The following is a 14,549-nucleotide window of genomic DNA, read 5'->3' as shown; positions in this document are numbered from 1 at the left end:
ATTATTAGAACAGTCGTTAGGGACAAACCCACCGTTATTAATGAATCCTGAAATGTTTGGAAAGGAGTTGAGTGTTGATGCTTTCTGAGTGTATCTTGCATTTAAGTACTTGGTTTGGGTGGAATGGCAACACTTTTGGTTCATTTACCATCTTATCTACACTTAACTTATGGGCATCTTCTTTTTTTTTTTTTTTTTTCCTTAAAATGGAGGGTGTTTTAGTCTAGGGAGTAGTTTTACCAAAAGATAGATGATCTATGACTACTAGAAAAGGAACATTGTCATGTGTGAATTTTCCTGATGTTTCTGATTGTAAAAGTAATACTTGGTTAATTATAGAATATTTGGGGAAAGGATGGCAAAAAGTAAAGGATCAGGAAGAAAAATAAAAAGCCATAAATGATCTTGCTTAGTGTTAGTTACCATCTACATTGTAGGGCATTTATAAAATAGCTTTAAAACAATCAGCTGTTTCTTTTTCTGCCTCCCGCCCTCCTCCGCCCCCCATACACATACACATACTCCATATGAACGTTTTGCTCTTGGAAATTCATATTTTGGCAGTGGTTCATAAAGGCCTGGTCTTATTTTGATGGAACAGCCCGACCTTGGCATCTACACATAGCTACTTCCTTTCTCTGCTGTCTTGGCTTCCCCTGCAGCATGTCATGGGATCAGCTATAGCAACAACCAGCCAGTCATGTGGAACTGAGGCTAAGACTTGACACTCCCCAACCATCCCAGAAAACTGAGGGCTTCCTTAGGTTTGATGCCTGAGGTCTCCCCTGCTCATTCAACCCAGGGTGTTTCTCTGGCTTCCTCACCTCACATCACCCTCTGTCTGCCTTCCCACCGTTCACCCCCCAACACTCCCTCCCCACACAATTTCTTCCTCAAGTAACCTCATTACTCCTGAGTAGCACTAACAGTGGCCACAGCTTTTTGAGTGCCATCTTTGGCCAGGCATTGTGCTATGCAGTACATGTAACTATCTCCATGCTTACTAGCCAAAGCGTGATCAGAGGTTAACACATAGCAAAGAGGTGACAGAGCCAGAACTATCTGGCCTTGTTCAGAGGCCTCCAGATTGGACTGGAATGCCTGTGCTCTGAACCCTTTCATTGTGTTCTTCCTGCTTTCTTAGCAGGCCACTTCTTTCTAAGGTACTTCAAAGAACAGCTCCCCATCAGGGGCCCTGTGTGTTGTGGCAGTGTGATTTATGTCAAGGACCATTCCAAGGGAAGTGTCCTGAACCGGCAGCTCCTGCCAGCCTGACACCTTTCCAGTGCCTAACCCGAGTCAGGAGATTCCTTCCTTCCTCCTTCCGTGGGGATGCCTGACATTGTAGCTACATTGGGTTTTTGTTTGTTTGTTTGGAGAGAGGACCTTGCTGTGTCACCCAGGCTGGAGTGCAGTGGCACAGTCACAGCTCACTGTAGCCTTTACCTCCTGGGCTCAAGCGATCCTCCCACCTCAGCCTCCCAAGTAGCTGGGACTACAGTTATGTGCCACCACACCAGTCTAATTTTTTTTTAATGTTTTTATTTTTGTAGAGACAGGGTCTCACTATAATACCCAGGCTCCGATCATGCTATGCTTAACTTTTAGGAAGTGTCTGGAGCTCTCTGTTCGGGGACCTCAGACCAATACCTTCCTCTCCCTGCTCACTTGTAGCAGTTCCTTGTATACTGGAGCCCTGTCTAACCTGAGTCTATAAATCACCCTTCCTACTCAGAAACCCCTGAAAATGGGGAACCAAGCAAGCCGCTGGCATGTGCTGGAGCCCAGGTCTCCTGGGAAGGTCCACATGGGGGATGGTGTCCCGTAGCAGGCTGTAGGTTTCAGAGCCCAGCGGGTGGTGGGGAGCCCTCAATTTGTAAGGAAAGGCCAGATGACAATTGTCTTTCTTCCTGGTTCCTCACATATCATAAAACCACCTCTTTCTCATCTCCACCACCCCCATCTCCAGGCTTGACTCACTGATTGTTTTCTTTTTTGGACAATGTCAGACCCTGCCCTTTTCCTGGAACTTCTCAGTCCTCCACTGGCCTGCGTCAGCAAATTCCTAAGTAGCAGATGACCTTCAAGATGTGTGAGAAGGAAGGGACAGGAATGATTGTCAGGATTGTCAGTTCCCCAGGGAACTCTGCATTTCTGACTTAGGGAGGGTAGATGACTCACCCTTCCAAGAACCCATCTGTCTGTCCGGGCCTGTGGGGCTCTGGAGAATAGAATATGGAGTACCCTGGTTTACAGGCACTGCCACCTCCTTATTTCAGGATGGGTTCAGGGATGTAGGATTGGAGTTGGGAGATTTCTTAGTTCTGCTATGGATGCTTTGTACTTAGGCAAGTTCAAAACCTCCCTAAGCTTTGGCTTCTTTACTGGGTAAAGTAGGGTTGGAGGCATTTCAGGCTTTCCTTCTTCTCACCTGATGCTATCACTACACATCTAGGCATTCACGTAATGGAAACTTACAAAGTTGCTCAATACCTCTCTTCATGTCCCCAAAGAGAGCAAGCAAGTGTCCCCATTATACTTCTTACAGTGAGGAGCCAGAGCTTCCAGGTATGCTAAGCCATTGCTCCCTGTTCCACTGCTGAATGCATGCTGGTGCCTTCCAGAGTCACCCCTTTGGTCTGATTCACTTAGTGCTGTGGCTCCGAGAAGTGGCCCTCTCTTTCAGCCAGCAGCTTGGGGTGGGGCCAGTAGAGTGGGAACCACAGTGGCTATATGAGTCAATTTGCTCATATTGTCATTTGACTCACTGACCCTGATGGGGAAGATAGTGTTATTCCCACAGTGTGGTAGTACACACTGGGGCTTATAGGGACTGAGCCTACTCAAGGGTATATGGTGCTGTGGGTCAGAGCTGGGGCATGGCCCAGGGATTCAGTGTGCCTTGACTCCCCCTGTAAATGTTCCTCTCAGAAGCCTTCTTGGCCTTCCAGCCCTTGGTTTTTGAGACAACCAGCAGTCATTTGTTCGTTCCTGACATTCCTTCCTGTCCCTTCCTTCCAGGTTCTGTGGACAATCACAATGGGAATCCAAGGAGGGTCTGTCCTGTTCGGGCTGCTGCTCGTCCTGGCTGTCTTCTGCCATTCAGGTGAGTGCTCCAGTCTCAGGACATGGATCTAGGCTGCCTTGGCCATGAACTCCCTTCTTAAGCCTCAGTTTCAGCCCCAGCTGCTCCTCCAGGCCTGGCTTTGGTTCTTTTGCCTTCCAGTGTTACAGGTCTGGGGTTGTATGACAGCTCCTTCCTATGTTATGACCTTGTCCTCAGTGGGGCATCGTCCTGAGTTACAGCCCGTCCTGAGTTACAGCGTGGCTTTTGGCAGGGGTGGGTCAACAATCGGCGGCTGAAGTTTCACTCCTGTCACCATAAGCTGCTTGGGGACACCAATGGATACCATTCTTAGAGTGCTGTGCAAGTCCCTTTGGGGTCCACTCTGCTTAGAGCCATCTGAGCTCAGTCCTTCTGCTCTGAGGCTCCTCCTGTGTTTTAATGATGATGATGGTCATAGTGACAGCAGCAGCAGCTAACTAACCCTGAAGCATTTATGTGCCAGTCACTACTCTAAGCATTTTACGTGTATTTGCTTATTTAATCCTCATGCCAACCTGATGGAGTTGGTGGTATTTTTATCCTTGTTTTACAAGCAACAAGATTGAGGCCTCCCCAAAATTAATAACTTGTCAAATAACACACAGAAGTGGTACACGGGAATGTGAACACACAGTCTGGCAACAGAGTCCCTGCTCTTCCCTCCTGCTCCAGGCCATCTGTCACTGGGCCACCCCCTCTCCTCAGCCACCCCTCCCCTGGTTGCTGGAGGAAATTGTGTGCTTCTGAGTCAACTTCTATAACAGTGGAAACACACATGCTTCATTGTAAAGATCAAGTGTGGTTGTCTGCCTGTGTCATGTTGGTATAATATCTTGGCCACTGCTGGTTTTTTGTTTTTTATAAATATGGTTGGTGGGGGGAGCAGAAAAGAAAGTGGCAATACAGTGAGCAATTTAAAAAAAGATTTCCACACCACTGTAGCATGTCTTAGAATATTAACAGCAACCATATATTCACTGTTTATTGTTTACTGGGGACTGTGCCAGAGCCTGTCTCATTTAAATCCGTCCAGCCATTCCGGGAGGTCGGTACTGTTACCTCCCATATTACAGCTGAGGAAATGAAGGCAAAGTAGTAACTTGGCGCCAGGACACACTTTAATATGTTCTCCCTTTCTGAGCAGAAAGAGAAGTCATGGCACCCCTTCTTCCCCACCTTCCGTGATTCTAGCCAGGGTGCACTGTAATGTGGTTCACCTGTGTTAAAACACTATATTTTTTCTATAATTATTTTTTATTTATTCATTTTTCTTGGTTCCTTCTTTTTTTCTGTCTCTGCTGCTTAAGTTGGAATATTTTCTAGAATTTTAATAGCCCAGTGACATCCTACTTCCAGCAGTCTGCATTTGTTTATGGAGCAAGCTTGGGACCATCAGCTTCTCTGTGACAAGTCTTGGGGTGCACTTCAGCCCTTTCTCAGAGAATTGAGATGTGAAGCTCACATGCCCACAGATGAGAGGCCTTCTTTGCTGCTGCCCAAAAGGGTCTCAGGACCCTGCAGGGGAACTTTCCTCTGAGCTCTGCCTCTTATGGCCCAGGGGAAACCTCGTCTACCCTGGCTTAGTGGCTAAAATATCAAACCATTGTCCACTGACCTATTGCTTGTTTTTTTTTGTTTGTTTTTTTCAGGGGGATGGAGTCTCACTCTGTCGCCCAGGCTGGAGCGCAGTGGCGCGATCTCGGCTCACTGCAACCTCCGTGTCCCAGGTTCCAGCGATTCTCCTGCCTCAGTCTTCTGAGTAGCTGGGATTACAGGAGCATGCCACTATGCCTGGCTAATTTTTGTATTTTTTTTTATTTACTTTTTAATTTTTGTATTTTTAGTAGAGGCGGGCTTTCACCATGTTGGCCAGGCTGGTCTGGAATTCCTGACCTCAAATGATCCACCTACCTCAGCCTGCCAAAGTGTTGGGATTACAGGCGTGAGCCATTGCACCTGGCCCTGTTGCTTGTTTTTGACCTCAGTTTCCACCATAATCTAGAGTTTCCTTCTCTTCCCACTCAGGTCAATTAGAAGAACATCATGGTTAACCAAGCTTGGATTTTAGAACTGACAGCCTGAGTTTGAGCTCAGCTCGGTCACTTAGTAGCTGTGTGGCTTTGAACAATTTAGTTAACATCTTAGTCTTAGTTTTCTCTTGCAAGGTGGGGATGAAGATAATTGAGCCTAGTTCTCTTAACAATCCTATGAAGAGCTTAGCACATAGATGCACATATATTTGAACACTGAATGAACATGTTTGCCATGAATATTTTTGCCCACAGACGTTCCAACCATGGGTTTTAGCCTTTCCTTCTAAAGCTTTCTTAAGAGGCCAAATGAGCCCGGGATCTAGCCACCACAAAAATCCATGTCTACAGGTAACCTTTTAAAATGGCCCTCAAACATGGCCAGTCTCAAGAACAACACCCTTCATCTTAGACTCTTTTCATTTCATGCGTGTGAATACATGTCTGGCACAAGGAAGGGACCAAAGAAAAATTGCATCTTTGCGCCTTCTCCTTGTGGCTTCCCTCTCACACGGGCATGACAGCCACAGGCTGACAGTGGGGGAGAACAAACAAAGCCTGGTGGATGGGGCCCTGCCCACAGGCCCCAGGGCTGCCGCCAGCTCTGCTGCTTTGTAGCCAGGTGTCCTTGTGTGAGTCACATCACCTCTCCAGACATCTGTCTTGTCATCTGCAAAAAAGTTGGGGAGGAGGTTGGTTTTTATTTTATTTTATTTTATTTATTTTTTAGACATGGTCTCGCTCTGTCTCCCAGGCTGGAGTGCAGTGGTGCAAGCTTGGCTCACTGCACCCTCCACCTCCCAAGCTCAAATGATTCTCATGCCTTAGCCTCCTGAATAGCTGGGATTACAGGCATGTACCACCATGCCCGGCTAATCTTTGTATATTTTGTAGAGGCGAGGTTTCACCATGTTGGCCAGGGTGGTCTCAAACTCCTGGCTACAAGTGATCCACCCACCTCGGCCTCCCAAAGTGCTGGGATTGTAGGTGTGAGCCGCCACACCTGGCCTAGTTTGTTGTTGTTTTTTAAAACTAATATTTCAAGGCATTAATCTGTAACCTTCACAAGTCAGAGGATCCTCTATTGGGTAGGATTTCACACCTGTGAGGGCAGACATGGCCATTTCAGATGCTCTAGAGAACTGGGTTCCTGTGTGTGCTCAGAAAGTGAGGACCCACCTTGCTTCCACTGGACTTTCCACTGAAAAATCTATTTCCATGGTGATAAACCTAGCCTTCAGCCTTAGAACTAGAAGTCAGCTGTTGGGCTCTAAAACCCACACTTGGTTTAACCATGACATTCTTTTGTGAGATTTTACGTGTTTCATCTTTGAAAATGTCTTTTCACAGAGGTAGGTACTTCCAAATACTGATTACATGGTAGAAGTCATATGGCATGAAGATAGTTTATCTCTGATGATGGAAAAGGGGGTATCCATACAAACCAGGAAGATTTCCTTCCAACTCTTGCTTCCTCAGTCTCTCCCCATCACACGTGTGGACTGTAACTCATCTTTTTGTTGTCACTGTTGTTACAAAAATGGAGAAGGAAAAATAACCCAGCAAAAACTGACAGCTAGCAAGGATGAGTCTTAAGAATTGACTGGGAGCAATAATTGTTTTTCAAACTAGGGAACTGGAGGCAATTTGCTTCTGATGTAAGATGACCCTCACGTTGTGTCTGCTGGTACCCAGCTGTCCTATGCCCATGGGTTTAAAGTGCACAGCTGTTGTCTTGTCTTTGACAGTGTGTACTCCTGGCATTCGGTCAGTCCCTTAGAAGGGGGTAGTTCAGTAATGATACCCTGTCCCAGAGGTTACCAAACTTTTTCTGTACAGGACCAGATAGCAATTTTTTTTTTTTTTTAAACAGAGTTTTGCTCTGTCACCCAAGCTGGAGTGCAGTGGTGCAATTGTGGCTCACTGCAACCTCTGCCTCCTGGGTTCAAGCGATTCTCCTGCCTCAGCCTCCCAAGTAGCTGGGATTATAGGTGTGCACCACCATGCCTGGCTAATTTTTTTATTTTTAGTAGAGATGGGGTTTCGCTATGTTGGCCAGGCTGGTGTCAAACTCCTGACCTCAGGTGATCCACCCTCCTCGGCTTCCCTAAGTGCTGGGATTACAGGCGTGAGCCACTGCGCCTGGCCCAGATAGTAAATATTTTAAGCTTTGCAGACCAAGAGGCAAAATCAAGGGTATTATGAGACTTACCTCAATAATAAGAAACAAAATTTTCACAGATTTTTTTATTGACAAAATTCATAACATAATTATTGAGTCCAGCATAATAATACACATCTACTAATGAGGGGAATAGAATTCTTTTTAGGGGGATAACCATTTGCTTAATTGGGGTTCAAAATTAGTGTTCCCTCGCATCAAATCAATTGCAGATGTTCATCTATTAATACTAATCTGTGATGACATTTTACATATTTCATTTTGAAAATGTATTTTCACGCAGATAGGTATTGCCAGACATTGATCATCAACCCACGAGGATGTGATTTAATTGGGCATATTCATTGCTTGGAAGACACTTATAGAATTCTGTTTGTTTCTCGGTAATTTCTTCTTAACACATCATTACATTGCAGACTAATCTCCTTCCAGTTGCAGGTTAGGAGGAAGCTTCTCAATTGCACAGTTAGATGGATATTCAAATGTGGATATTTCCTTTGTGCTTGCATCAGGGTCCAAAAAATGTTGCTGGAACTGTAGTTTGAATTTGGAAAGATATAACTGCTATACATTTGTGCGGGAGTGGAAGTATACCACAAGTTGCTGACTTTGGGCCCATATTAATGGAGATGGTGGGCTGCCAGGGGACAAGTCAGTGCTGCTTTAAGAGATCCTGACTTTCTTCCTGATTCTAGGTCATAGCCTGCAGTGCTACAACTGTCCTAACCCAACTGCTGACTGCAAAACAGCCGTCAATTGTTCATCTGATTTTGATGCGTGTCTCATTACCAAAGCTGGTAAGAGCCTCCCCTGTCTGTCTCCTAAATGTAATGGGGTAATAAGTGCCTGGGAAAAAAATTGTGCCACTGTAATCCTCATTAGGCTTGCATCAAGTAATAGCTACCATTTATTAGCGTCAGGTGTGTATTGGGCTAAGCACTTTCTTCATACATTTTAAATTTAATGTTTTGCACTTCTAAGGGTGATCTTTTATTTCCATTTGATAAATGTGGAAATGGAGGTTCAGATTAAGCAAGAAATTATGGTTAAGTAACCGACTCAGGAATTGAACATGGAAGTCCATCTGATTCCAAAGCTTGTGCTCTTTTACAGCAGCCCTGTGCTGCCTCCCAGACCTTGGAGAACCTACTGTGTGCCCAGCAGAGGGTTAGGAGCTAGGGATGCAAAGATAAAGAAAGGACACATACAATTAAAATTATGACAAAGGCCTGTTTGGCTGTCCTAAATGTCATTATATATGCCTCTGTCTCATTCCATGGGGTATCTGGTATATTCAGAGTCCTGAGGAGACTCAAGCTGAGCTCAAAGGACACGTAGGAGGTAAGAGGGCTAAGAAGGGAAGGGTGTGCCTGGGAGGGGCAACAGCAGGTGCCAGGGCTCGGTAGCCTCAGAGCAAGGTGCTCATGAATTTGGGGATGGGCAATGCTAACATGCACAAGTCCTGTCCAGTCTGCATTTTCCAAATTTGTTAGACTACAGAATATTCACCTCCATCACCCTGTTAAAATAGAGTTTAGGAAGTGGTAGACAGAGGAAAGAAACCAGCAAAGACATGCCCTCTGTTCTTGCTGGGGTGTGGTTCTGGATAGAATCGATGTGTGCAAATGATGCCAGCGAGGAATGGCAGTTTCAGAATGTTCTTAGTGTCCAAGGTAAAACCCTCAGGCTTAGATTTCTAAGAGATTAATAATAAAAACACTCCACAAGGTTATTTGTACTCTTAGACCTTCTACACCAGCTCCCCCCAGTGTCAACATCAAGAAATGGTGAACATGTCAGGTAAACTCAGAAAAGCCTTGGGACACCCACATGTTCAGAAAAACCTGAGATAAAGATGATTAACTTCCCCAGAAAGGAGAAATCCCTCAATAACTAAAGACAAATTATAGTTACCCTGTCTAAAAAAACAGGGGCATCTGATAATTTTGATATATTTAGCTGGATTTGATAAATTTGATATAGTTTAGCTGGATTGCAGCTAAAACTCCAAACCTTCCATTCAGAGCTCTTGATTCTGTAGGGCACCAGTCCCTCTGCCCCCACTGGAAGACCATATTCATTCACTGTTAATGTAGGAAGCGTAGTAAGGCCCCTAGCGAGAACATGGTCATTATGTACGAGCACAGAAGACTTGGCTCTTTAGCTTGATCAACTGTGTCTCTTGGACTCCTCACTACTAAGTATAATTAAACTAAGTATAGTTTCCAAATGAGACGATAAGGGCAATTACTATGTGTTGAATGAATATTACAGCAGCAATTAGAGCTCTGACTTCTGTCCTGCCACCAGCTAGCTCTCTCCACCTCTGTTTTTCATTTATGAAATGTATGTGTTGGACAGCAGAGGTAGGGAGGAGAGGAAAGGAGGTCAAAGCCAAGATCTTTTTCCAGCTCTTAAATCCCAAAATTTCTTATAAATGGTTAATGTAAACAAAAATGAGACACACCTATTAAAATGGCCAAACTCCAAAACTCTGACAACTCCAGATGCTGGTGAGGATGTGGAACAATGGGAACTTTGTTTTTCTGGTTTTTTTTTTCTTTTTTGAGACAAGGTCTTGCTCTGTCACCTAGGCTAGAGGGCAGTGGTGCAATCTTGGCTCACTGCAACCTCTGCCTCCAGGGTTCAAGTGATTCTCATGCCTCAGCCTCCTGAGTAATTGGGATTACAGGCATAAGCCACCATGCCCAGCTAATTTTTGTATTTTTAGTAGAGACGGGGTTTCACTATTTTGCCCAGGCTCATCTCAAACTCCTGGCCTCAAGTGATCTGCCTGCCTCGGCCTCCCAAAGTGCTGGGATTACAGGCGTGAGCTACCACGCCCAGCAGCAGTGGGAACTTTGATTCATTCCTAGTGGGAATGCAAACCAGTATAGCTACTGTGGATGACAGTTTGGTAGTTTATTACAAAACTAAAATATAACACAATATATAATACTTGATATTTTGATAATTATATACAGTATATAATATTTTATAATAAATGTGTTACTGGTTTGTGTATTTACTATATTTTTTATCATGTTAGCATGTAGTCCTTCTACTTACTAAAAAAATTAACTATAAAACAGCCTCTCGGGAGGCTGAGGCAGAAGAATTGCTTGAACCCAGGAGGCAGAGGTTGCAGTGAGCCAAGGTCGTGCCATTGTACTCTAGCCTGGGTGACAGAACAAGACTCTGTCTCTACAAAAGAAAAAAAAAAAAAAAAACAGCCTCAGCAGGCAGGTCCTTCAGGAGGTATTCCAGAAGAAGGCATTGCTCTCCTAGGACAGGACAGCCCCATGAGTATTCTTACCCCTAAGACCTTCCAGTGGGACAAGATGAAGAGGTGGAAAACAGTGATACTGATGATCCAGACCCTATGTAGGACTAGGCTAATGTGTGTGCTTGTGTCTTCATTTTTAACAAAAACAAGAAAAGTTTTTAAAAATTTTTTTAAATAAAAAAGCTTATAAAATAAGAATAGAAAGAAAATATTTTTGTGCCACTGTATAACATGTTTGTGTTTTACCCTGTTTTATTACAAAGGTAAAAACATTTACAATTAAAAAATTTCTAAAGTAAAGTGGCAGTAAACTAGGGTTGATTTTTTAAAATAAGCTTAGTGTGGACTAAATGTACAATATTTAAAACATCTACAGTAGTGTACAGCAATGTCCTAGGCCTTCACATTCGCCCACCACTCATTCACTGACTTCCAATCTCACAAGCTCCATTCACAGTAAGTGCCCTGTACAGGTGTACCATTTTTAAAATCTTTTGTGTCATATTTTTACTGTATTTTTCTATGTTTAGATATGGTCAGATACACAAATATTTACCACTGCATTACAGTTGCCTACAGTATTCAGTATAGTAACTTGCTGTACAGGTTTGTAGCCTAAGAGCAATAGGACATACCACATAGCCTGAGTGTGTACTAGGCTATTCCATGTAAGTTTGTGTAACTACACGCTATGACGTTTGCACAGAGACAGATATGATGGTGCTATACAAAGTAAGTCTAGAAGAGAGACAGGTTGGCTGCTAATTCAACCAATATTTACTGGCATCCTAGCAGTATAAACCATGGAAGTGTAAGCAAGGTTAAATGTACTTAGTCTTGAAGGAGCCTCTGATGACAGTGTCAAGTGGTCACTGCTGTAATGACGTTCTGAACAAGGGCCACATTTAAGGGTGCCTAGGACAGCTGAAGACTGTTGACTTTAGATAGACTTGAGCCGAAGTCTTCAAAAAGAGTGAGGAGGAGAAAACCTGTAACACTCCAGGGATTCTGATATAAGCCACTTTTATGTGGATAATTCCAAGGCTGGCTTTGGTGAGATTATTACCATCGTTAAGGCTGTTGTTTGAATATGATAATTCAAGTAAAGCACTTTGGTACGCTGCACGACACATAGTAAATGATTAATTGGTAGCAATTATTCATAAATTACTGTCTGTTCTCCCCAAGCTTCTAGGCTTCCCTAATTAAAATTCTGATAGCTTTAAAGCTTTTCAAGTTCCAATGCGTAATTACTGTTACAAAGCAGTAACTTGTCTGAATCACCAGCAGCCTCTAGTACAATATTAGAAGCTTCCAGTTATTTAGTTAAGACTTCAGCAACTAGAGCCATTTCTGGAATACTCTATGTGGACTCTGCCACTTGACTAAACTTCATTAAATTCCAATCCAGATACCCATCCCCTCAGAGGAGGAGGACAGGACAGTTATGCCTGCAGTTATAAACTGAGAAGTGTTGTGTTCCAAGCTCTGCATGGAATTGGGTAAATTAGCTACAAGCCTGAAATAAGGAAGTATGCATCTGCGTTTTTTTCTTTCCAGCACAGAAGATAAGAAACCACTTTCAGGGCAAGGACAAATACCTTCTTATACCCCAGTATCTAGCACACAGGCACTCAGTTATTTTTGGAGAAGAAAATCTACCATAATACCACTCTCTCAACTAATACATTTTTCACCTAACATGCTTTTTCTGAATATTAAAAAAACTGTGATAAGATACTTGGAGTATATACTTCTGGCCTTTATTTTCCTGTGTGCCCAAGGCTATTTTTCCAAAAATGGGACCATGATGGCGTGTTTTTTGTAGAAACTTTTCCAGTATTACTGAATAATCTAATGATTTTTAAAATGAAGTTTCAAATATTTTAAAAATAAATCATCCATGTGGCAAATTAAAAAAACTCAATAGAAACATAAACGAAGTGTATTCTTCCATGATGATAACACTATTAAATTACTTGGGAATCCTTCCAGAGAAAAATAAATGCACTTACCTCAATGTATATGTGCTTTATTTCCACAAATGGGTCACATTCTATACACTGTTCTGCATCTAGGGTTTTTATTGAGATATAATTCACAGACCAGAACGTTTACATTTTAAAGTGTATAATTCAGTGGCTCTTAGTATATTTACAAGGTTGTATGACTTATCGCAACTGTCTAATTCCAGGATCTTTCTGTCACCTTGAAAAGAAACCTGTTAGCAGTCAGTCCTCATTCCTCCCTCCTGCATGCCCCAGCAGTGACTGATGTACTTTCTGTCTTCATAGATTTGGCTCTCCTGGGCACTTCATATGCAAGGAATCATACAGTATTGTGGCACTTTGCGACTAGCTTTTTTTTCACTAAACATAATGTTTCCAAGGTTCACTCATGCTGTGGCATGTATCAGTACTTCATTCTGTTGTGGCCACATAGTATTCTATTGTGTGGATATATCACATTTTGTTTATCCATTCACCAGTAATGGACATATGGGTTGTTTCCACTTTTTAGCAATTTTGAATCATGGTGCCATGAACATTCATGTGGAAACTTGTGTGTGAACGTAGTTTTCAATTCAAACTACGATAAGATACTTGGAGTGTATACATCTGGCCTTTATTTTCCTGTGTGCCCAAGGCTATTTTTCCAAAAATGAGACCATGATAGCATGTTCTTATAGAAACTTTTCCTGTATTACTGAATAATCTAATGATTTTTAAAATGAAGTTTCAAATATTTTAAAAATTATCCATGTGGCAAATTTGAAAAACTCAATAGAAACATAAACGAAGTGTATTCTTCCATGATGATAACAGTATTAAATTACTTGGGAATCCTTCCAGAGAATGGCAGAAGTATATACACTTGTGAGTGGAATTGCTCAGTCAAATGGATAACTCTATCTTTAACTTTTTGCAGAAATGCCAAATTTGTCCAGAGTATCTACACCATTTTACATTCCCACCAGCAATGTTTGAGGGTTCCAATTTTTTCCACTTCCTTGCAACATTTGCTATTTACCATTTTCTTGATCTTAGCCATCCTAGTGAGTATAAAGTGGTATCTCACTGTGATTTTCATTTGCATGTTCCTAATGACTAATGATATCAAGCATCTTTTCATGTACTTATTGGCCATTTGAGAATCTTCTTTGGAGAAATGTTTATTCAAATCCTTTGCCCATTTTTTTTTAAAGAGGCAAGGTCTTGCTTTGTTGCCTAGGCTGGAATGCAGCAGTACAATCATAGCTCACTGCAGCCTTAAAGTCCTGAGTCCAAGTGATCCTCCTGCCTCAGCCTCCCAAGTAGCTAAGACTAAAGGCGCAACACCCTGCCTGGCTAATTTTTTTATTTTTTATTTTTGTAGAGTTGGGATATCACTATGTTGCCCAGGCTGGCCGCAGGCAATCCTCTCACTTCAGCCTCCTAAAGTGCTGGGATTACAGGTGTGAGCCATCACACTGGCCTCATTGTCCATATTTTAATTGGGTTAGTCTTTTTATTGTAGAGTTTAAGAATGTTTTCTATATCCTGGATACTATGCTCTTACATATGACTTTAAAAAAGAAATAGAGAGGGGGTCTTGCCATGTTGACCAGGCTGGTCTGAAACTTCCCGCCTCAAACAATTCTCCCATCTCAGCCTCCCAAAGTGTTGGGATTACAGGTGTGAGCCACCGCACCTGGTGGTTTACATGTGATTTGCAAACATTTTCTCCCTTTCTGTGAGTTATCTTTTTATTTTTTGATAATGTCCTTTGAAGCACAAAAGTTTTAAATTTTGATGGAGTCCAGTTTACCTATTTTTCTGCCCCCCCCCCACCTTTATTTTTTTTTTTTTAAATCAAGCTCCTTCCATGTTAGCACTTGAAGGCCCACGTCATTTCTTATCTGCATGGAACTTGCATTGTAAGGAATTCTATTGTAATTTCTTTAAC

At 42.7% G+C, this 14,549-nt stretch overlaps 1 protein-coding gene across 8 annotated transcripts in view, besides 1 other annotated feature; it reads left to right on the top strand.

Moving 5' to 3' along the window:
* CD59 (CD59 molecule (CD59 blood group)) overlaps nt 1-14,549 on the top strand; it is a 33,470-nt gene that overhangs the window by 10,995 nt on the left and 7,926 nt on the right. For 4 of the 8 annotated variants that reach the window (NM_203330.2, NM_000611.6, NM_203331.3 and 1 more), the window contains 2 exons: nt 3,022-3,106; nt 8,014-8,115. In NM_203330.2, coding sequence (NP_976075.1) covers nt 3,040-3,106; nt 8,014-8,115 — 169 coding nt within the window. In that variant the 5' untranslated portion in view covers nt 3,022-3,039. Of the gene's footprint in view, nt 1-2,535; nt 2,569-2,757; nt 3,107-8,013; nt 8,116-14,549 lie in introns of those variants that run through there. The other 4 variants (NM_001127227.2, NM_001127226.2, NM_001127225.2 and 1 more) reach the window with 4 other exon arrangements.
* Nucleotides 1,400-1,489: an enhancer, noted in NCBI's record as "active region_4583". NCBI's record gives its function as "activates an Ori minimal core promoter by ATAC-STARR-seq in GM12878 lymphoblastoid cells {active_cell/tissue: GM12878}" and the evidence as "EXISTENCE:reporter gene assay evidence [ECO:0000049][PMID:35858748]".

This window comes from Homo sapiens, chromosome 11 (genome assembly GCF_000001405.40).
Source record: "Homo sapiens chromosome 11, GRCh38.p14 Primary Assembly".
NCBI lineage: Eukaryota > Metazoa > Chordata > Mammalia > Primates > Hominidae > Homo > Homo sapiens.
This window is presented reverse-complemented; position numbering and strand designations above follow the sequence as displayed.